Source organism: Homo sapiens, chromosome 10 (assembly GCF_000001405.40).
Source record: "Homo sapiens chromosome 10, GRCh38.p14 Primary Assembly".
Classification (NCBI taxonomy): Eukaryota; Metazoa; Chordata; class Mammalia; order Primates; family Hominidae; genus Homo; species Homo sapiens.
In genome coordinates, this window is record NC_000010.11 from 70429806 (window position 1) to 70451513 (window position 21708).

General features: G+C 50.7%; 1 protein-coding gene across 3 annotated transcripts, besides 9 other annotated features; it reads right to left on the reverse strand.

Annotated features, from left to right (window-relative positions):
* Window positions 2131-18146, reverse strand: NODAL (nodal growth differentiation factor). 3 transcript variants are annotated; one of them, NM_001329906.2, is made up of 3 exons: window positions 18119-18146; window positions 5481-6178; window positions 2131-3283 (listed from the first exon to the last, which is right to left on the reverse strand). In NM_001329906.2, exons 2-3 carry the CDS (start codon window positions 5970-5972, stop codon window positions 3131-3133), a joined length of 645 nt encoding a protein of 214 aa, NP_001316835.1. In that variant the 5' UTR covers window positions 5973-6178; window positions 18119-18146; the 3' UTR covers window positions 2131-3130. The 3 variants fall into 3 exon arrangements, with proteins under 3 accessions (NP_001316835.1, XP_024303796.1, NP_060525.3); XM_024448028.2 differs by lacking the exon at window positions 18119-18146 and adding an exon at window positions 12226-12358; NM_018055.5 differs by lacking the exon at window positions 18119-18146 and adding an exon at window positions 11670-11876.
* Window positions 5338-5839: an enhancer, noted in NCBI's record as "H3K4me1 hESC enhancer chr10:72194899-72195400 (GRCh37/hg19 assembly coordinates)". NCBI's record gives its function as "activates a minimal SCP1, AML or CMV promoter by ChIP-STARR-seq in naive H9 embryonic stem cells {active_cell/tissue: H9 hESC(naive)}" and the evidence as "EXISTENCE:reporter gene assay evidence [ECO:0000049][PMID:30033119]".
* Window positions 7541-7721: a silencer, noted in NCBI's record as "fragment chr10:72197102-72197282 (GRCh37/hg19 assembly coordinates)". NCBI's record gives its function as "represses an EF-1alpha promoter that drives an FKBP-Casp9 reporter gene in an ReSE screen in K562 erythroleukemia cells {active_cell/tissue: K562}" and the evidence as "EXISTENCE:reporter gene assay evidence [ECO:0000049][PMID:32094911]".
* Window positions 10122-10731: an enhancer, noted in NCBI's record as "H3K27ac-H3K4me1 hESC enhancer chr10:72199683-72200292 (GRCh37/hg19 assembly coordinates)". NCBI's record gives its function as "activates a minimal SCP1, AML or CMV promoter by ChIP-STARR-seq in naive H9 embryonic stem cells {active_cell/tissue: H9 hESC(naive)}" and the evidence as "EXISTENCE:reporter gene assay evidence [ECO:0000049][PMID:30033119]".
* Window positions 10732-11339: an enhancer, noted in NCBI's record as "H3K27ac-H3K4me1 hESC enhancer chr10:72200293-72200900 (GRCh37/hg19 assembly coordinates)". NCBI's record gives its function as "activates a minimal SCP1, AML or CMV promoter by ChIP-STARR-seq in primed H9 embryonic stem cells {active_cell/tissue: H9 hESC(primed)}" and the evidence as "EXISTENCE:reporter gene assay evidence [ECO:0000049][PMID:30033119]".
* Window positions 11340-11949: an enhancer, noted in NCBI's record as "H3K27ac-H3K4me1 hESC enhancer chr10:72200901-72201510 (GRCh37/hg19 assembly coordinates)". NCBI's record gives its function as "activates a minimal SCP1, AML or CMV promoter by ChIP-STARR-seq in naive and primed H9 embryonic stem cells {active_cell/tissue: H9 hESC(naive and primed)}" and the evidence as "EXISTENCE:reporter gene assay evidence [ECO:0000049][PMID:30033119]".
* Window positions 12560-13169: an enhancer, noted in NCBI's record as "OCT4-NANOG-H3K27ac-H3K4me1 hESC enhancer chr10:72202121-72202730 (GRCh37/hg19 assembly coordinates)". NCBI's record gives its function as "activates a minimal SCP1, AML or CMV promoter by ChIP-STARR-seq in naive and primed H9 embryonic stem cells {active_cell/tissue: H9 hESC(naive and primed)}" and the evidence as "EXISTENCE:reporter gene assay evidence [ECO:0000049][PMID:30033119]".
* Window positions 12568-12862: an enhancer, noted in NCBI's record as "tiled region #10859; HepG2 Activating DNase matched - State 8:EnhW". NCBI's record gives its function as "activates a minimal TATA promoter and a strong SV40 promoter by Sharpr-MPRA in HepG2 cells {active_cell/tissue: HepG2}" and the evidence as "EXISTENCE:reporter gene assay evidence [ECO:0000049][PMID:27701403]".
* Window positions 16288-16582: an enhancer, noted in NCBI's record as "tiled region #10829; HepG2 Activating DNase matched - State 8:EnhW". NCBI's record gives its function as "activates a minimal TATA promoter and a strong SV40 promoter by Sharpr-MPRA in HepG2 cells {active_cell/tissue: HepG2}" and the evidence as "EXISTENCE:reporter gene assay evidence [ECO:0000049][PMID:27701403]".
* Window positions 20755-21423: an enhancer, noted in NCBI's record as "H3K4me1 hESC enhancer chr10:72210316-72210984 (GRCh37/hg19 assembly coordinates)". NCBI's record gives its function as "activates a minimal SCP1, AML or CMV promoter by ChIP-STARR-seq in primed H9 embryonic stem cells {active_cell/tissue: H9 hESC(primed)}" and the evidence as "EXISTENCE:reporter gene assay evidence [ECO:0000049][PMID:30033119]".

Here is a 21708-nt window from a genome sequence, read left to right on the forward strand (position 1 = left end):
GACGGGGTTTCACCACGTTGGTCAGGCTGGTCTCAAACTCCACACCTCGTGATCCGCCCGCCTCAGCCTCCCAAAGTGCTGGGATTACAGGCATGAGCCACCGCGCCGGACCGAAAAGGAAGACTTAAAGACGGAGATAAACCCCAGGTTAGGGGTGCTATCCCAGGGTCACAGCCACTCCCCACATCTCTATGGATCCCGTGTTTCTGTTTCTTACAATGTTTCTAATTTCTCCAGGCTTACCTACTGCCAGGCCCACCCACTTCCTCAGCCAAGGAGTGTAATGTGTCCAATTTTTACCACTCACAACTGACTTGGCACTTCTTGAGAGCAAGTTAAAATAACTCTTGAGTGCTCTTAAAACCCTAGGTTCAGGCCAGGTGCAGTGGCTCACAGCTGTAATCTCAACACATTGTGAGGCCAACACAGGACAAGAGCTTGAGCCGAGAAGTTGGAGACCAGCCTTGGCAACATGGCGAGACCCTGTCTTGACAAAAAACAATCTAAAAAATTAGTTGGGTATGATGGTGCATGCTTGCAGTCCCAGCTACTTGGGAGGCTGAAGTAGGAGGATTGCTTGAGTCCAGGATGGCAAGACTGCAGTGAGCCATGATTGTGCCACTGCACTCCAGTCTGGTTGACAGCAAGATCCTGTATCAAAACAACAGAAAACATCCCAGGTTCAGACAGGACACAATTCTCCAAGGTAGTATTTAAAGTGACTTATAGAGCCTTCAGCAAGCACATGGCCTAGAGCATGGAGCTATTCCCTAGGCTCGGGTAGGTAGGCTTTGCCCCAGTGACTCTGTCCAGGCAACAGAATGACTCTGCTGCTGACGTAGCAAACACTGAGCTTTCAGCAGGGGTCAGCAAAACACAGAGTTTCACTACTTTGTGCACTACTTTTATTTGACATGAGGCAATGCCCTGTCGTCAAGGGTTTGTTCTTGGAGTCAATACAGCTGACTGTAAACACTCCCACAAGCTGTAGCTACAAATAGCTTGACCTTTCGCTCTCTGGCACCAGCCATGTAAGAAAGTCCTGGGGTGGGATGTTCACTTCTAAGAACTAGTTCAGTAGTGTAATTGGGTTCAAATGTTTGGTTCTAAAGGCTAAGGCTTGGATCCCAAGATAGGTGAGCACAAACCTCTAGTTGCTGTTAAGCAGTAAGTGCCCGTAGGGCTCAAGAGACCAGAGCTCAGCTCTTGGCCCTGCCACTCCTAGCTGTGTGGTCAGGCCCTGAGGCCTCCCTGGGGTCTCACTTAGGAATGGGGATCAGACAAGCTGACCTCACAAGGTTGTCCCTGCTCTGCTGTTCTGTATATGGGCAGATGCAGAATCCTGTTGATTCTGAATTGTTGGATCTGGGCAGTCTATTTCTAGTCCAGGCAGTGAACAGCTGGATCAGCTTTGTTGTGGAATCAAGGCACTGAGGTTTCTCAAGCCCAGGCCTGGCTCCAGCAAATCCAGCCCCTTTCTGGGCCATGACTATGGTGTTGACTCAACCAAAGCCTCAGTTGAGTTCGTCTGAGCTCAACAGGGTTCACAAATGATTGGAATCATTTTCTTTAGCATAAGTGGGTAGGCTTCTTGGGAAAGCAGAATGGGGTAGATATACTGTGGGCTCACATTCCCAATAAAGTGGCCCCTTTGCTCCATGAAACTACAAAAAAAGTGCCCCTGCTTTGGCAATGCTCAATGAGATCAAGCTGTTAAGAGCAGAATTGCTTCTTTTGTTTGTTTTATTTAAACAGAGACAGGTTCTCACTATGTTGCCCAGGCTGGTCTTGAACTACTGGACTCAAGTGATCTTCCCATCTCAGCCTCCCAAAGTGCTGGGATTACAGGCATGAGCCACTGCACCCAGCCAGAATTGCTGCCTTTGAGGTCTTTTTACCTGGAAGATAACTGTGGTCAGGGGTTTTTGGGGATAGAGCTGCCTCACTCAGGCTCCTTTTGCTGTGCTTCCCATGTGGAACCTGAAATTAAGTCTGTCTTAGAACCCTGAGTAACAAAAGAGCCGATAAAGGTTAGATTAAGGGCATGTGGCAGGGACTGGGTTTAGCAAGCTTTATAAGCTTTAGAGGGAGGTAGGGATAAGGTAGCTCTTCCTATTCAGTCTACAGCTTAAAGCTCATGGCTCTTCTGAGCCTGACAACAGACATTTAATATGAATGCATTAGGATTCACCAGCGTTCCTTTTACAAGTGGAGACTGGACAGTGAATTGCTCACCTGAGGTCGCACAGCTTCCAGTGGCTGAGCTGTGACCATAGAGCAAGTATCTTGCCACCCAGGGCAAGGCCTTCACCACTGCTGGATAGGAAGCTCAGAGGCCTCATTAATAGCACACATTGAGAGACTGAGGTGGATTGTCACCAACTTTAACAAACTCAGGCTGTGTCTGCCGAAGCAGACTGACGCAGGGATGTCTTCTGTAACCCAACATGGCCGGTCCTCTTGGATGAGTTCCTGCCTCTGCCTTCACAGGCACCAGCTGGCCCAGGAGAACTAGACAATGGCTTTATTGTTGTACAGCTCATTAGCAGAGAACCACTCCAGTGAGCCTCTGGACAAGGCCAGTAGATTGCCACTGGCCAGCCAGAAAGCTGTGGGGCTCCCCCAACCCAGCCTGAGGCAATGAGATTGACGGACTCTTTTTAATCTATACAGTGATCCTTAATCTTTGGGGAGGGGGACAGGTCACACACAGACTACTTTGGAGAATACATGAAAGCTATAGGTGACTTCATCCCACCTCCAAAATACATGCACATATGTCTCAACTTTCACATACAGTTTCGGGGGGTTCACAGGTTTTTAAAAAATCCAGTAAAGAACTCATGCACTTGTGCTTTTCCTTGCCACTGTCTTTTCAGTAAAGAGAACATCCAGCCAGCCCCCTGCACAGGCTTCTTCCTCCCTCTTCCTGACAGCAGCCTCTGTGCTTGGCCAGACTCCACTGAGCCCTTCATTTACAGAGTGGGCAGCCCCTCCTCTTCAGTTCTGGTGGGCAGAGCAACTTTGCCCCTCTCTGTTTCTCCTTACTGGATTAGATGGTTATCATGTCTTCCAGGAGTTTCCCAGCCTTCCAGAGTGCAGGCAAATCCAGTCTCCCTCCAGGATGTCATCAGAGGCACCCACATTCTTCCACGATCATGTCTTTATGGTGATCTAGGAGCACTCTGCCATTATCCACATACAGCATGCTCAGCGGCTTGGTCTTCACTGGGGCACAACAAGTGGAAGGGACTCGGTGGGGCTGGTAACGTTTCAGCAGACTCTGTAAAGGAAAGGAAGGGTGTGTCAATTCACATCCTGATGGGCAGGTCAGAATAGTATTTCTGGGTAAAGAGTAAAAAAGTTACGGAGTTAAAGTCAGTTCCTGAGTGCAAAAATAGCAGAAAATTATTTTCATAAAGGAATTAGCTTGCCAATATATCATGAACTCTAATGTCTAAACTACCTTTAGCTCTGTGCTTGTTTTGTGAAAACAGCCTTTAAACAGATTCAAAAAATTACATGTATCTGGGTAGAGTAGTAGCTATTTTTTTTTTTAAGTGGTAGCTAATTTTTATGTTCTCCTATTATTCTAGTCTAAAGGGAATACCATTTTTTTTTTCTTTTTTGAGATGGTCTTGCTCTGTTGCCCAGGCTGGAGTGCAGTGGTGTGATCACAGCTCACTGCATCCTCAACCTCCTGGGCTCAGGTGATCCTCCCACCTCAGCCTCCTGAGTAGCTGGGACTACAGGTACATGCCACCATGCCTGGCTAATTTTTGTATTTTTTGTAGAAATAGGGTTTCGGCATGTTGCCCAGGCTGGTCTTGACCTCCTGGGCTCAAGCGATCCACCCACCTCAGCCTCCCAAAATGCTGGAATTACATGAGTGAGCCACCGTGCCCGGCTGTGAATACCAATTTTTAAAATATTCCAAGAAATTCCTGGTTTAGTTCTAGAAATATGAAGCAGAATAGTTAGTCATGTGGAAATTCTTATGGGATTTGCTGTCAGCCAGAGAAGGACAGAGAGAGTCAATAGGAGGAAAGGAACAATCCCTTGGCGTTTTGGAACCAGGGCCTGTCCCTGTGGTCTAGTAACGTCTTTTTAGATCAGAGTGTCAGAGTTGGCAGTTGGGACTGTCTGGGTCTTTGTGGTGCTCCAGGTGGGCGATGAAAATCAGCAGGCCTGGGTGAGGCTCAGGACAGATCCTCGGAAGCTCTAGTACCCCCAGGGACTCCCTTGCATGACCTCAGCCCATGTGCTCATGCTCCCCAGAGACCCTGAATCCCGCCTGAGGCTTGGCATGGAGGATATATTGCAAGTCCAAGAAATTCTCATTCCAGACTTCATGGAGTAAAATGAAAACATTTTGGTCCCATATGACCTTGGACAGCAGGGCAGGGCCACCTATAACATCAGATCCACCATATTAGGTTATATTTTCTGTTCTCTCCATCTTCTTCTCTTTCCTAACTCACCAGCTCTGTTCTTCCTCCACCACCTCCTAGACCTTAGGCTGACTAGTGGCACCAAGTGGCAGCCTCTGGCTTTGTCTACTTTTTCTTGTTTTTGAGATGGAGTTTCGCTCCTGTTGCCCAGGCTGGAGTGCAATGGCATGATCTCGGCTCACTGCAATCTCTGCCTCCCGGGTTCAAGTGATTCTCCTGCCTCAGCCTCCCGAGTAGCTGGGATTACAGGCATGTGCCACAACACCCGGCTGATTTTTGTATTTTTAGTAGAGACGGGGTGTCACCATGTTGGTCAGGCTGGTCTCAAACTCCTGACCTCAGGTGATCCGCCCACCTCAGCCTCCCAAAGTGTTGGGATTTCAGGCATGTGCCACCGCACCTGGCTGGCCTTGTCTACTTCTGTAGAATGGGTAGTCAATTCTCAACCAAAATACTGTGGCTGGAACAGTGTGATTCCAACCGTGGCCCCATAATGCAGCCAAACATGCCTGTTACCTACCAACTGCTTTACATGCCATGTGCATGTCATCTCATTAACCCTACAGCATCCCTCTGAAATATGGCATTGCCCTCCTCATCTTACAGGTGGAAAAACTGAAGCTTGAGAGAATAAGCAACCTAAACAGTATCACACAGCTAATGAGGAGTCAAATGCAGGCCTGCCTGTCCCCAAAGTCCAGATTCTTCCTTTCCTAGAATGTCAGGGCTAGGGAAGTGCTGAGACCCTCTGGTCTACCCCCACCCCCTAATTTTATGAAAGACAAGGATAAAGTCCCAGGGAAACAATGTGTTCAAGGCTACCCAGTGACGCATGACCCCATACAGGCTCTATAAGGATGTTACACTCGGTCATCTCTACATGCCTGGTACCTAGCACAGGATCCTGGTACATTGGAGGTGCTTGAGTAACTGTGAATACAGGAACATAGTCATTTAATAGCAAAGCTAGAGCCCTGTCCCCCAAGGCCAGCTTACTGCCTCCCCTCCCCCTCACGCCTGGCATCCCACCTGGATGTATGCATGGTTGGTCGGATGAAACTCCTCCCCAACAGGATTAGGACACTCGCCCTCACAGCGATAGGCGTTGTACTGCTTGGGGTAGATGATCCAGGAGCCCCATCCGATCAGGTTGAAGTCCACCTGGAACTTGACCTTCCGACACAGTTGACTTCTGTCTGGCAAGTGATGTCGACGGTGCCTCTTGCCCCACTCCCAGGACAGCTGTCCCTCCTGGGCCCGCCAGGAGCTCTCGGCTTCCCACAGCAAGGTGGACCCACCCAGCTGCCTCTGCTCCTGCGAGAGGTTGGAGTAGAGCATAAGGAGCACATTGGTGGCAGGCGGTGTGGGGGGCCGCGGCCAGCACTCTCCAGCTACCCTGGACATCTGCTTCTCCAGGGCCCCAGGGTGCTTCAGCCACTTGGAGAGAGGCCTGGTCACCTCCAAAACCATGCTGCCCAAGGAAAAGGTGACCTGGGACAAAGTGACAGTGAATAGGTCCATCTGAAACCGCTCTAAGCAGCTGTCTGAAGCCTGCTCTGTGTCGGGCTTTGGCTGGTGGAAAATCTCAATGGCAAGTGAGCCCTCAGTGGGGAGGTCCACAGGGCTGGACAGCTGCAGCCGGAGCTCAGCCCATGCCAGATCCTCTTGTTGGCTCAGGAAGGAGAAGTCAAAAGCAAACGTCCAGTTCTGCCCATCCACTGCCACATCTGGGTAGGAGAAAACCAAGAAGGAAGGAGGGTGAGTGAGGGCCTCCCCCAGCCTCAGTCAGTGTCACAACCACCATAGCTCTTGCTGGAGGCCTTACCTTATATAGAATTACCTTCGAATTCTCACCCCAACTCTATGAGTTGGTAAGATTTTCGAGTCCCTTTTAGAGATGAGGAAAACTGAGGCTCAGTGTGGTTAAAAGATCTGACCAAGGTGTCATTCTTGGAAGGTGGCAGAGCCAAGAGTAAACCTGGATTTGCCCAACTGCCAAGCCCAGACTCCGAATTACTGTTCTTCCAGTCCCCCTTCCAAGATAACTTGCACAGCCAGAGGACAGTCAGTAAAAATGTGATGAGTTGCATCTCCCCCTCCCCTGTCTCCTCCCATACATGAAGTCTGACCAACATGGAGAAACCCTGTCTCTACTAAAAATACAAAATTAGCTGGGCGTGGTGGTTTGCGCCTGTAATCCCAGCCACTCGAGAATCATTTGAACCCGGGAGGCAGAGGTTGCAGTGAGCCAAGACAGTGCCATTGCACTCCAGCCTGCACAACAAGAGTGAAACTCTGTCTCAAAAAAAAAAAAAAAAAAGAGTGACTTGTTTTACAGACACATTGAGCTAGATGTGAATATCATGGAAAAGCTCAGAGCTCTCAGGGAGCCACAGGCAATAGAAGCCAAAGACTGGTCACCCTCTACCCACCCCCCAGTTCCTAAGAGTTTTTGGCAACCTTACAAATAGGTTTCTAAAGGCTTTCTAGGCATGTCTACCCACCTACAGGATGCTCGCCCATTCCTGTCCCAGGTCATTCACACACCTGGGGCACACAGCAATCACATGCACCCAGAAGCTTCCAGAAGGCTGAAAGTGGGAGTTGCCCCTTTACAATACAAGGTGGATTATTTCCCAAAGAAATTCACTTTCTCTCTGATCAAAGATGCTCTATGAGACAACAGATGAATAAACTGTTAGATGCCCAGACTGGACCTACATCAGAGATCATCACCCAGAAGACACACACACCCAGCCCTGTTCCACACACCCAAGACAACCAAACCCAAGCTGGATGACAAGGAGTAGGGGAGCACACTCCATTTATTCTGGTCCTGGATTGATTTTCCCTGATGTCTGGGAATAGCACAGATTTGTGGATTTTCAGGTGACTTAATAGTGATGCCGGGCGCGGTGGCTCACGCCTGTAATCCCAGCACTTTGGGAGGCCAAGGCGGGTGGATCACCTGAGGTCAGGAGTTCGAAACCAGCCTGACCAACATGGAGAAACCCCGTCTCTACTAAAAATACAAAATTAGCCGGGTGTGGTGGCTCACGCCTAATCCCAGCTACTCAGGAAGGCTGAGGCAGGAGAATTGCTTGAACCCAGGAGGTGGAGGTTGTGGTGAGCCGGGATCGCGCCACTGAACTCTAGCCTGGGCAACAAGAGCGAAACTCTGTCTCAACAAAAACAACAACAAACATAGTAATGAACTTTCTTCAAGCTCAGTTTCCTCTTCTTTGCGATGGGAATAATGCTGTACCACCCTCTCTGATTATCACAAGGACCCAGAGAAATAAAGAGGTTTGAAGGTTTATTGCTAAATAAAAGTTGGGGTTATTCATTAGAAATAAGACAGGGCATTTATAATTCTTTGTGAATAGACTCTGGAGGTAGTGATGATCTCTGATGTAGGTCCAGGCTGGCTGCATAACAGTTTATTCATTGACTGTCTCGTTGAGCATCTTTGGTCAGAGAGGAAGTGAATTTCTCTGGGAAATCCAGCTTGTATTGTAAAGGGGTCACTCCCAATCTCAGCCTCATGGCAGCTTCTCCCAGCCTATCTCCAGCAGCTCTTTTTCACTTAATTTCCACTTCCCTCCTCATTAGCACCTACAGGAGGCAATAACCGGCCCCTGACTAGCAGCTTTCCCCAGAAGTGTGGGGAGGAGGCTAACATTACTCAGCACTCACTGCTGCCACCTGTACCTGGAGGATTCGGGCGGTGAGTTTAAAAACACTTTATCTTGGCCAGGTGCGGTGGGTCACTCCTATAATCCCAGCACTTTGGGAGGCTGAGGTGGGTGGATCACTTGAGGTCAGAAGTTCGAGACCAGCCTGATCAACATGGTGAAACCCTGTCTCTACTAAAAAAAAAATACAAAATTAGCCAGGCATGGTGGTGCACACCTGTAATCCCAGCTACTTGAGAGGCAGAGGCAGGAGAATCGCTTGAACCCAGGAGGTGGAGGTTGCAGTGAGCTGAGATTGCGCCATTGCACTCCAGCCTGGGTGACGAAAAGCAAAACTCTGTCTCGAAAAAAGAAAAACTTTATCTCAACTCTTTTAGAAGAAGGCACTCCTGCTTAATGGTTAAGAGCAGGGGCCCCCAAGTCTCCCCATGATGGCTCAAATTCTGTCACTTGCTGTTTGACTTTGGTCAGGCTACTTTCCTTCTCTGAGCCTCAGTTTCCCTCTCTGTAAAAGGGAGATGGTAAAAGTAGCCACCTCACAGGGGTGTTAGGATTAACTGAGATAATTCATGTAATGTGCCATGCCCAGCACAACCAAAGTTCAATAAACATTGGCCATCATCAGCTGCCTCATTATTGCCCAGGTCCGAGAGTTAGAAATGAAGGTGTCCGGACAGGCCACAAGGACCTGGACAGGGGTGCAAAGTTTCCTATGAACAGGATGGGCAGTGGGAAAGGCTGGGTAGGGAAGAGGCTGCTCCTTCCTGCTGAAAGAAGTCTGTGACCCTTCCTACCTTCTCCCACTGCTGCCAGGGTGCCCTGGAACAGGGCTGATAGGTTCTCTGGTTCATCTTAGAATAAGGGTTCTAATATTGTGGGTGTCACTGGTGCCTGATGCAAGGTAGGAATGTTATCAGAAAGAAACACACATCCAAATACAACAAATGTGATTTTAAGGTGGGTATGAGGAAGGGGTTCATGGACACCCAAAAACCCATTCATATGCTGAATGCAGACTTAGCCACACAGATGCCCCTGATGTCCTCCTGGCCCACCTCCAGTTCTTTTTTTTGAGATGGAGTCTCGCTCTGTGGCCAGGCTCGAGTGCAGTGGTGCGATCTCAGCTCACTGCAGCCTCCACCTCCTGGGTTCAAGTGATTCTCCTGCCTCACCCTCCCGAGTAGCTGGGACTACAGGTGCGCGCCACCATGCCCAGCTAATTTTTGTATTTTTAGTAGAGACAGGGTTTCATCATGTTGGGCAGGACGGTCTTGATCTCTTGACCTCATGATCCGACCACCTCGGCCTCCCGAAGTGCTGGGTTACAGGCGTAAGCCACTGTGCCCGGCCCCACCTCCAGTTCTGAAGAAGAAAGTGGCTCACACCCTTGGGTTCCCTTCCAGTCACCGACACCGCCGTCCCCAGACAGGGCTGTGAGGCAGGGCTGTAAGGACCTGACACTGAGCACCCACTCTACATTTTCATAAATTATAAGGGTCGTTACCATCAGTGGCTTCCCGTGTGCCAAGTGTTTCACAGGCATTCTCTAAATCTCCTCACTGTTCCTCTCATCTCACCATTTGCAGATGAGAAAACTGAAGGTCCAAGGTGAAGGTTAAACGGCAACAGATACAGATGTAAACCCAATTGGACTCCAACATCCCTTTCATGCAACTGCGGTGCAGCTTATTCTAAATAAACCCAAGATGGAAGGAGTGGGGCCAGGACATCCCTTCTCCTCCAGTCTCCCTCCAGGCGGGCTCTTCCCACTGCTCTTAGAAAATGAGGCCAATTCACAACGTAACTGTGCCACATGCCGCTGTACACTAAAAAACAGTGTTTAGGCCGGTCACAGTGGCTCACGCCTGTAATCCCAACACCTTGGGAGGCCGAGGCAGGCGGACCACGAGACCAGGCGAGACCAGCCTGGCCAATATGGTGAAACTCTGTGTCTACTAAAAATATTAAAAAATAGCTGGGCGCAGTGGCGCGCGCCTGTAGTCTCAGTTACTCGGGAGGCTGAGGCAGGAGAATTCCTTGAACCTGGGAGGCGGAGGTTGCAGTGAGCCGAAATCGTGTCACTGCACTCCAGCCTGGGCAACAGAGGGAGACTCTGTTTCAAAGAAAAAACAAACAAACAAAAAAACAGTGTTTAGCTGAAAGAGAGCAGTCTCCTAATTTACAGAAGGGAAGGCAGATAAACCAAGACGCGCCAGGGACAACAGGGAATCAGGAAGCAGGATTTGAGGCCTAGAACCCAGTTTCCAGATGCCTGTCCATCACCGCACACATCTCGAACTTTCCAGAAGGGAGTGAACTGGAAAAGCGCTCCCTCCCTTCTTTGCCCCCTCCCATCCCCGGCCGCTTTTCGGTTGAGGGGCCGAGCACTCCAGCAAATTTCTCATTGCCCCGCCCCCGAGGGTGTCCCCTGGTCTGGCTGGTCCCCAGATGACCCTTCCGGAGAGGGTCACCGGCTGTCTGACCCCAGGCGCGGGAGCGAAGGGCCCCCGGCACCAGGTCACAAGGGGCGGGCAGGCGGCAGGTCGGATCAGATTAGCGTTTGTGGATTGCGCCCCGGCCCCAGGGAGGGCCGTCTGGCCCCCGCAGGCGGAGGGAGGCGTGGGCGGCCGCGGCTGCCCAGGCGGCAGAATGTGGATTGAGGCGCGGAAGGGGCTCCCTCTCCGCAGCACCCACCTGCTCGCCGCGCTGGGTGCCCAGAACGCGCTGCCAGGTCCTCGAGGGCGATACCCTCAGATCCCTGCCGTCCTTGACACCCACTCCCCTGCAAATCATGGCCCCGAACCCGGGGTTAAGCGAGACACTTGACACTTCCCCGGCGCGGCTGGAGGACCCAAGGCTGCCACAGTTCGCGACTTCGGGACAGCCCATCCCTGATCTCCGGGCCGTGAGCCCGAATCCCCGATGTTACCAGCTCAGCTGCCGATACTCCCGACGTCACACCCCGGGACCCATTCACCCTCACTCGCAGAAAGAAAAAAAAATCGCCAAGACCAAACCATTACAGTAATACCAACGACCGTTGACTGTGGCTGTGCCGGGTACTGCGCTGAGCGTTTCGCGCGCATTGTCATCTCGCGCTTTCCACAGTCTGATAGGCGAGGTGTTATTTATTACACCTATCCTACAGATGCGCAGACCCAGGCTCCGGGATAAGCAACTTCACAAGACTGGAGATTAGAAGCTCCCACCCTTCCGCGCTGCGCTCCGCGCAATCCCAAACCAAAACCCAGAGACAATGGTCCCCGTCGAGGACACACCCTGAACGCTAGAATCCCTTCCCGACTCGGCCGTGGATACGCCCCCAGCCACCAACGCTGCACCCCGAGCCTGCTGACGCGGAGACACCCGCAGAGCTAGGCCCTGGGCTCGGGACGCCCGGGCGGCTGCAAACCCGGCTCGGAGCCGCAGCCCCCAACCCACAGCACTTCCCGAGTCCGCTGGCTGGACGCGGCGGAGGCGCCCCGGGGGTGCCCAGCAGGGCGCGGCACGCGGCACTGCCTACCTTCTGCCTGTAGGCTGCGGATGATGTCTGCCCTCGGCAGCGGGTCGCGGTAGAGGCTCAGCATGTACGCCAGAGGGGATGGCGACGAGGGCTGCCCCCGCGTACGCAGGAGCGCAGTGGCCACCGTCGCAGCACCCGCCTGGAGTAGGGCCCACCAGGCGTGCAGAAGGAAGGGCAGGCAGTGGGCGTGCATGGTGGGCTGGCCAGGCCTGAAAGCAGCACCTCCAGCCCTTATATCCTGGGCCTCAGCAGCCGCCCCGCCCCCACCTTTCCTCCCTCTGGGGAAGCTTTAAGATCATATAACCCCCCTCCGGAGGGTGGGGGGCAGAGAGACCTCCTGCTGGGGATGGGCGAGACCTGAGCCTGGTGCGGAGGAGGCCCGCAAAGCTGGCGGAGGACCTAGTTCCAGGGACGGGATCTAGGGCTCCTGGTTTGCCCGGTCTGGACACCCTGGCACCCTGCTCCTCTAGGTACCAAACGCCTTGATGCTGAGACAGAGCAGGCTTGTCCCGGCAGATTCCCAGGTCAGAACTGCGACTTCCTTACTCGACCTCACCTGGGATCCCTGCCCCATCCTCTCCACTCAGGCTGCAAATGGACCGCAGGCTCCTCAAGAAGCAGGAAGAGAATGCCGAGGGATCCTCGTGGCTCTCAGGCAGACTTTGACACAATCTGGCCGGCGCAGCCTCCCTGGCCACTGTCTAGATGGCCTCGGGGAGCACCCCTGGCCCTACCAAATACTGAAGTGCTTTCCTGGGGAAGACAGAAGGCAGGAGGGACCAGGACGATGACTTCTCCACCTGAAAAGGGAGTGTTCAGCAGAAGCTGGAGCCAGATGGAGCCAACGGGGTGATCCTGGTTCATCAGGCTCTTCCCCGACAGGCAGACATCACCCCAGTGATTTCAGGAGGAAAGGTGTTACCCTTGTTGCCCACATCCCCCAATCCCTGCCTGGTGTGGCAGGGCCACAGAAGACCTGGGTGTCGGCTCAGGGCCACTCACTTTGATCTCTGGGCTCAGCTTTCCTTATTTGCACAAGAGTGATCTTGTCTGGCCTCCTCCCTTCCAGGTGCAAAGTCAAATCAGGGCTGGAATGACTTTTAAAGAAATGTAAATCCCTGCCCCAGTGTCTGGCCCCATCCGTTTTCCTTTACACCTGAGGGCTCTTTCTCTTCTTAGCTCCCCCCACCTACCTAGCCTTGACAAGCACTTAGCTGCTGGCCAACACTTACTGAACACTTACTAAGCGCCAGGCATAGTGCTAAGTGCTCTATACACCTGACTTCTTTCACAGGATGCCTCTAGCTCAAAAGAACCATAGGCTGCTGGCCAGGCACGGTGGCTCACACCTGTAATTTCAGCACTTAGGGAGGATGAGGCTGGCAGATACCTGAGCTCAGGAGTTCAAGACCAGCCTGGTCAACATGGTGAAACCCTGTCTCTACCCAAAAATACAAAAATGAGCCAGGCATTTTTGTGGTGTGCGCCTGTAGTCCCAGCTCCTCTGGAGGCTGAAGTGGGAGGATTGCTTGAGCCTGGGAGGCAAAGGTTGCAATAAGCCAAGATCGGGCCACTGCACTCCAGTCTGGGCAACCGAGTGAGTCCCTGTCTCAAAAAACAAAACAACAACAACAACAACAACAACAAAAGAACCATAGGCTGCGACCTGAGCAGGTTGTTAGAAAATGGAGAAAGGCCCAGCAGGCTCAACTAGGAGCTCCAAGCCTTTGTCCTCTGTCTTAGGGGAGGAGGCTGTCCCACATAGCTGGAGGCCTCATCTAAGATTCAGGAGACCTGGGCTGTCCACCACATGAGCCCTGGACAGTCTGTTAGTTTCCTAAAGCTGGAAATGTCTTGTTCATCCTGCTGTCACACAGTATATACCATCATCATCGTTGGAACCCAAAAAATCTGTGTTAAGTAAATAATTCAGGCCAGGTGTGGTGGTTCATGCCTGTAATCCCAACACATGGGAGGCCAAGGCTGGAGGATAGCTTGAGGCCAGGAGTTTGAGACCAGTCTGGTCAACATAGCAAGACCCTCTTTAAAAAAAAAAAATAAAAACAAGTAAATAATTCAGTGAGGCCAGACGCAGTGGCTCACGCCTGTAATCCTAGCACTTTGGGAGGCTGAGGTGGGAAGATCACCTGAGGTCGGGGGTTTGAGACCAGCTTGACCAACATGGAGAAACCCTGTCTCTACCAAAAATACAAAATTAGCTGGGCGTGGTGGCACATGCCTGTAATCCCAGCTACTCGGGAGGCTGAGGCAGGAGCATCGCTTGAACCCAGGAGGCGGAGGTTGCAGTGGGTCAAGATTGCGCCATTGCACTCCAGCCTGGGCAACAAGAGTGAAACTCCGTCTCAAAAAAATAAAAAAAAAATTCAGTGAATGGCACTATGTCTGAACTTGCCTGAAGATACGCATCACCTTGGTGTTTGTTAAACTGTTGACTCCCCTTTTTTTTTTTTTTTTGAGATGTAGTTTTGCTCTTGTCGCCCAGGCTAGAGTGCAATGGCACGACCTTGGCTCACTGCAACCTCTGCCTCCCCGGTTCAAGCAATTCTTCTGCTTCAGCCTCCCGAGTAGGTGGGATTACAGGTCCCCACCACCATGCCCGGCTAAAATTTGTATTTTTATTAGAGATGGGGTTTTGCTATGCTGCCCAGGCTGGTCTTAAACACCTGACCTCAGGCGATCCACCCGCCTCAGCCTCCCAAAGTGCTGGGATTACAGGCGTGAACCACTGCGCCCGGCCAAACTATTGATTCTCAAGTCCAGACCCAGACCTTCAGATTTAGAATTTGGTGAGAGGGCATGGTCATCTACATATTTCACAAGCACTCCAGTGATACTTTTTTTTTTTTTTTTTTGAGACAGGGTTTCACTTTGTCACCCAGGCTAGAGTGCAGTTACACAATCTCGGTTCATTGCAGCCTCTACCTCCTGGGTTCAAGTGATTCTCCTGCCTCAGTAGCTGTAATTTCTGCCTCAGTAGCTGGAATTACAGGCACATGCCACCACGCCTGGCTAAATTTTTGTACTGTTAGTAGAGACAGGAGTTTCACCATCTTGGTCTCGAACTCCTGACCTCGAGTGATCTGCCCGCCTTGGCCTCCATAAGTGCTGGGATTACAGGCATGAGCCTGGCCCTCCAGTGATTCTGATCAGCCAACTTTGGGACCCACATGGGCTAGGGTTCTTGTTGCAGTTTGTAACCCACCTCTCTACATTGTTTCCTCATCTGCAAAACTTGTCTAGAGATTACTCCTCCCATGTAGACTAAACGAAATGAATGTAAAAATGCTTTACAAGCTCTAAAACCTGATGTCACCGTAGAGGATGATGCATGCGGGTATTATTGTGGGTGGTCCATGGTTGTCATCTGACTTCCCCAGCCTAGAGACTCAGCCTCAGCCCTCTGTGTCAGACCCCTCCCCAGAGGCAGAAGGCACCCTCATCCAGGTCATGCACATATAAATACAACAATGACAGGTTGTGGTTTGTGCTGTGGGAGCCTCTGACCAGGACTCAGGTTCCAAGGATGGCAGCACAGGGAAGGCACAGACAACTAGATGGAGGTGCAGGAGTCAGACGCAGTGAAGCCAATTCCAGAACCCAGGTCTACCAAATCACCATGTGGCCTAGTGTGTAGGTGGTCCCTGTTTAAACATGCTCAGCTCAGCTCAGAGCACCCTCATCCACTGAGACTGGGAAGGAACAAAAAAGATGGCATGCTTTCCATGCTGGACCAGAAGCTTCTTTTTTTTAATTTTTAATTAATTAATTAATTAATTTTTTGAGACGGAGTCTCGCTCTGTCGCCCAGACTAGAGTGCAGTGGTGCCATCTCGGCTCACTGCAAACTCCGCCTCCTGGGTTCACGCCATTCTCCTGCCTCAGTATCCTGAATAGCTGGGACTACAGGCGCCCCCCACCACGCCCGGCTAATTTTTTGTATTTTTCAGTAGAGATGGGGTTTCACCGTGTTAGCCAGGATGGTCTCGATCTCCTGATCTTGTGATCCACCCGCCTTGGCCTCCCAAAGTGCTGGGATTACAGGCATGAGCCACCGCGCCTGGCCGGCGCTCACTGTTTAAGGTAAAATGAATAATAATAACCATAGCTAACATTTATTGAGCACCTAATGCACCAGACATTCTGCTAATAATTGCATTGATTTTATCCTCATCCCCACTTCAGAGACGATGAGAAAACAGAAGCTCAGATAATTTGCCCAAAGCCACAAATTTACAAGTGGAAACAGCCAGTATGTGAAGGGTCAGTCTGCTTGTCACCCAAACCCGTTGCTTCCCCATAGAAGAGGAGTGAAAATGTGCCTTGTACTAAGACTTTTAAAAAAACTCTCAAATAACGTCTTGCCTTTCCCAGGGTCCAACAGCTGCAGACAGCTCATTTCTGATGTGTATTGGCTTAGAGCCCTGTGGAGGCCTGGAATTTCTCTCTGACCCGCAAGAGCAACTGTCTGACAAAGCTCATCCATCTCTGAACTTTCTTGGGCTCTGGCACTATCCCTGGAAGAACCTGAATCTCTGTTGCTTTTTTAGGACCGAGGCTAACAGTCACCCTCACTTTTTAAAGACATTAGTTAGTCCAGGATCTCTTTCATATAAGAAAGACCAGAAGTGCCCTTTTTCCAGGTGAGGAATGACACCTTCTCGTTTCCTCTGCCCAGACAGACTGACCGTCAGATTCCCTGACCTGGGAGATAACCTTTGAGGCCATCCCAGCTGGCAAGAGGGTGGGGGCAAAGTCCCTTGAGGTTCTCAGATGCTTTCCATAGAGACATTTTGGACCCTCCCTTGATGTGAGCAGCAATGTGTGACATGGTTAAGTGCTTGGATCCTGAAGTTGAGCCTCCAGGAGGCAGAATCTGGATACTTCTCTGTCACTTCCTGCCTAGGGATATTAGACCAGGCACTTAGCATCCTGAAGCTTCTGCTTGCTCAGCTGTAAAATGGAGACAAATCATATCTACTGACAGGAATGCTATAAATAGTAAATGTGTGTAAAGTGTATAGTGCACGTAGCATTTAGTCATTCATTCATTCATTCATTCATCGAACAAACCTGCTTGTCTAGTGAGTCTCTGGCAGGCTGACTTAGAGCTAGATTCTCAGGGAATCAAGGACATGTGTTTAGTGAGCATTTCCTGTATGCCAGGGGTGACACTGGCTGCCTTTGCCTGTATATTGCCTATATAAGCAATCCTGTTCACCCCTCACTGATGTTCTGTGCGGAAAGCCTTTCAGGGATGGAGAAACTGAGGTACACAGGAATTAAAGCATAAGCTTTGTGAGGGTGGAGAGCACCTGCTTCATCATATCCCTCTGTGCCTAGCATAGCTCCTGGCACACAGGTACCAGTAAGTATTTGCTAAGTGATTGAACCCCATATTCCCAAAGCAGGGCCCCCAAACACCCTTGCCTTTCACATATTCTTTCCTCCTGCTGTTTCTACTTTATCTCCCCCGGTAAACTCCTAAACTCCTACTCATCTATCAAGACACAGTTTAAAAGTCTCCTCTTCCACAAACCTGTAAGTGCCCCCACAGCAATTTAGCAGAGCCCTCTTCTTCTTCTTTTTTTTTTTTTTTTTGAGATGGAATCTCACTTTGTCTCCAGGCTGGGGTGCAGTGGCATGATCTTGGCTCACTGCAACCTCTGCCTCCCAGGTTCAAGTGATTCTCCTGCCTCAGCCTCCTGAGTAGCTGATATTACAGGTGAGTGCCACCAGGCCTGGCTAATTTTTGTATTTTTAGTAGAGATGGGGTTTCAGCATGTTGGCCAGGCTGGTCTCAAACTCCCAACCTCAGATGATCCATCCACCTCGGCCTCCCAGAGTGCTGGGATTACAGGCATGAGCTACCGCACCTGGCCAGCAGAGCCCTCTTCTAAGTAAAGCATCAGGGCGGGGTGTGGTGGCTCGTGCCTGCAATCCCAGTGCTTTGGGAGGCCAAGATGGAAGGATCGATTGAGACCAGGAGTTTGAGACCAGCCTAGGCAACATGGTGAGACCCTGTCTCTACAAAAAATTTAAAAATTAGCCAGCTTGTGCCTGTAGTCCCAGCTACTTGGGAGGCTGAGATGGCAGGAGGTCAAGGCTGCAGTGAGCCATGATCACACCACTCCACTCCAGCCTGGGTGACAGAGTGAGACCCTGTCTCAGGAAAAAAAAAAAGAAGAAGAAGAAGAAGAAAATCAACAAGCAAAATAAAGCATCGTAGAGCAGTTGTCTAAACTCTCTTCAGTGAAGGCCACCAGCCTACCAGATTGTGAGCTGCCTAGGAGCAGGGGTGACCCCTGACTCCTTTCTCTCTGAGGCCCCAGCCCCTGGTTTATAACTGCCCACTGTTTGCTGGAATCTGCAACCTACGTGAATGAATTCAATCTCATAAAGGCAGGTCTAAGACAAGTCTCTCGCTTCTACCTTTAGTCTGTATCCCCAACTGTTGGTCTTGGAGGCTGATGCCCAGGCTGAGAGGTGCCATCCAGTGACTCTGCTGGCATATGTGGCTCTCTGTGATCTCGTGGCTCTCTGTGATCTCAAGCTAGAAATGAGCCTCCATCTCCAGCCCTGTTGTCCAGAGCCCTCCCCTGCAAACCCCTTCGAGCCCAAAAGCACTCCAGCCACATGCAAACACCTGCCCTTCCCCAAAGTTCAGAGCTGTTCTTTCTCTGCCCAAAATGATTTTGCCTCCTCTTCATTCAACAAAACATTCCTATTTCTCCCACAGAATCCAGCCCAAGAGTCTTTTCTTCCATGAAGCTTTCCTTGTATGACCTCCCTCCCCTCAGGCACTCTCCCCTGAGACCCCTTCCTTATCCAGGCTCTGATCCCAGCCATTCTTTGTTTATGGGACATGATCTTTGAGCCCCTGGGAGTTTCCCACCAGCAAGCCTGGTGCTGGTTTGCACTGTATTCTTCAAAGCGCTGGGCAAAGGGCCTGGTATGCAGTAAGTGGAGGTTGCAAACCATGCCTGCAGCTGGCCCTGGCTGATGCAGTGTTTTGTCTGCCCGCCAACTATGTTTTTAAAAGTTTTGGGCTGACTGCCATGGCTTGCACCTGTAATCCCAGCACTTTCAGAGGCTGAGACAGGAGGATCACTTGAGCCCAGGAGTTTAAGACCAGCCTGGGCAACATAGCATGACTTCATCTCTAAAACAACAGAAAAGTACATCCCGGCCTACATGGTGAAACTCCGTCTCTACTAAAAATACAAAAATTAGCCAGGTGTGGTGGTGCATGCATGTAATCCTAGCTATTCGGGAGGCTGAGACGGGAGAATCGCTTGAACCACGGAGTCGGAGGTTGCAGTGAGCTGAGATGTGCCTCTGCACTCCAGCCTGGGCGACAGAGTGAGACTCCACCTCAAAAAATAAAATAAAATAAAAAAGAAAGAAAAAGGTATCTGGGCATTGTGGCCTACACCTGTAGTTTCAGCTATGCAGGAGGCTAAAGGAGGGAAGATGGCTTGGGTACAGGAGGTTGAGGCTGCAGTGAGCCATGACTGTGCTACTGTACTCCAGCCTGGGCCACAGACTGAGACCCTGTCTCAAACACAACAAAACAAAAAACAAAAAGAAAGAAAAGTTTTTAAGATGCCAACAGTGTACATTTTTGAGATTGTTCATAAAATACGTTTTTGTTTTTTTTTCTTCATTTGAGAAATGGAAAGAAAGGCCTGGACCCTCATTTCAACATGGAAAAGTTTCCCTAAAGCCAAATTGTCACTATTTCCTTTAGGCAGGGTCTATTCTCTTAAGTGCTAGAGTCAATCCTTAACTTATTACACCCAATTTGCCTGGCCCTGGAGAACCTTGTTATATTTTATTTTATTTTAAAATTATTATTAGTTTTTTGAGATGGAGTCTCACTCTGTCACCCAGGCTGGAGTGCAGTGGACTGATCTCGTCTCACTGCAACCTCTGCCTCCCAGTTCAAGTGATTCTCATGCCTCAGCCTCCCGAGTAGCTGGGATTACAGGCATGCACCAGTATGCCCGGCTAATTTTTGTATTTTTAGTAGAGACGAGGTTTCACTATGTTGCCGGGCTGGTCTTGAACTCCTGATCTCAGGTGATCCGTCCCTCTCAGCCTACCAAAGCAGTGGGATTACAGGTGTGAGCCACTGCTCCCAGCCCCACTTGTTATATTTTAGATGAGAGAAAGTCACTCTGGAGTCAGTTAGGAGTGTTTGGGTTGGGCCCATCTCATTGTCCTTCTTCAAAGGGACTAATTCATGCATTGTGGGTAGCTGGCCCAGGCTGGATGAGATAGACATAATCTATTATTCTATAAAGGCTTACTATAATGTGTTTGCACTCTCCTATCAATCCTATGAAGTGGATTGGATGGTTACTCCCATTTTACAGGTGAGGAAACTGAGGCTCAGAGAGGTTAAGCAGCTTACCCAGGTGGAGCATCTAGCAGGTGGTAATGTGAGGGGCCCTAAGTCGTTGTGACTTGAGAAGCCACACTGGATGCTCCCTTGTCCCAGCAGAGTCACTTATTATTACTTTCCTTGCACAGAGAGGTCTTTCCCAGCTTCCCCCATCTAAATTGACATCCTGCACTCTGTTATATCACTCTGTTGATTTTCTCCACAGCTCTTCCATGGTCAGAAATTACCTTGTGGTTGGGCGCAGTGGCTCACGCCTGCAATCCCAGCACTTTGGGAGGCTGAGGCAGGCAGATCACATGAGGTCAGGAGTTCGAGACCAGCCTGGCCAACATGGCGAAACCCTGTCTCTACTAAAAATACAAAAATTAGCCAGGCATGGTGGCGCATGCCTGTAAGTCCAGCTACTGGGGAGGCTGAGGCAGGAGAATCGCTTGAACCTGGGAGGCGGAGGTTGCAGTGAGCCGAGGTCGCGCCATTGCACTACAGCCTGGGCAACAAGAACAAGACTCTGCCTCAAAAAAAAAGAAAAAGAAAAAGAAAAAAAGAAATTACCTTATTTTGTTTTGTACTGTAAGTTTCTTTTTTATCCTTTCCCCTCCCCAGCACTAGGCTGGCTATAAGCAGCTTCTCTGTTTAGTTCATTGCTGGACCCCCAGTCGTTAGCACAGTTCTTGACACATGCAAGTGTTCATAGTACACCTTTGTTGAATGAATGCATTTAACCTGGTGTCTGCATTGCAGGACACAGAGGTAAAAAGGCAAAGACAGGGAAGGTGCTTCTTGGTCCAGTGGCCACTAAAAGGACATAAGTCCCTCAGGTCAGCAGCTTCCACTGCTTTCAAGTTCTTCCACCTCACTCTCCTGAGCACACGGTTGGATACACAGTGGGTCTCAAATACTGGGTGCACTGTCTTGGCATGCTGACGTCTGGACATCAGCAAGACAATGTCTTCTGTGTCCCCATCTCCTTATGGACATGATTCATGTTACTGCACCTTCTGTGTGCATCGCTCATGCCTCCAGTCTCTCCCGTGGTCCTTGCAGGAGCTATGTGACCTGAGCAGGGCTGGTACCACCCTCAGACAGGGTGACTGGCCCCACATCATCCAGCTGGCAGGGCCTGGTCTGTCTGACTCTGAAGCTCAAGCTCCTCCTGCTCCCATGGCCCCCCAGCCTCTTGGGGTGGAGCCAAGTCGAGGCTTGCGCTTCCCACAGGGTCAGGAGGTGAAGGCACAGCCTGGCCTTGGAACCCCGCGGAATGGGAAGGTTTTGTGAAACAAACAGAGAGACCACCAGGAGGGTGCCCTCCCCTCCCACCCCGGAAGCTTCTCAGAGATTCCCACAGCCCAGCCAGCTGCCTCTGCCTCCCACCTTCCCACTTCCCCTCCACGGGGAGTCACTGGTGCTGAAGTTGAGTTGGAGATGACCTAACTCTGAGCCTGGGGGTGGGAGAAAGGCTCTGAGAGAGAGAGAGAGAGAGAGAGAGAGAGAGAGAGAGAGAGAGAGAGAGAAAGAAAGAAAGAAAGCCATGAATAAGAATCAGAACTGGCCGGGTGTGGTGGCTCATGCCTGTAATCCCAGCACTTTGGGAGGCCAAGACAGGCGGATCACCTGA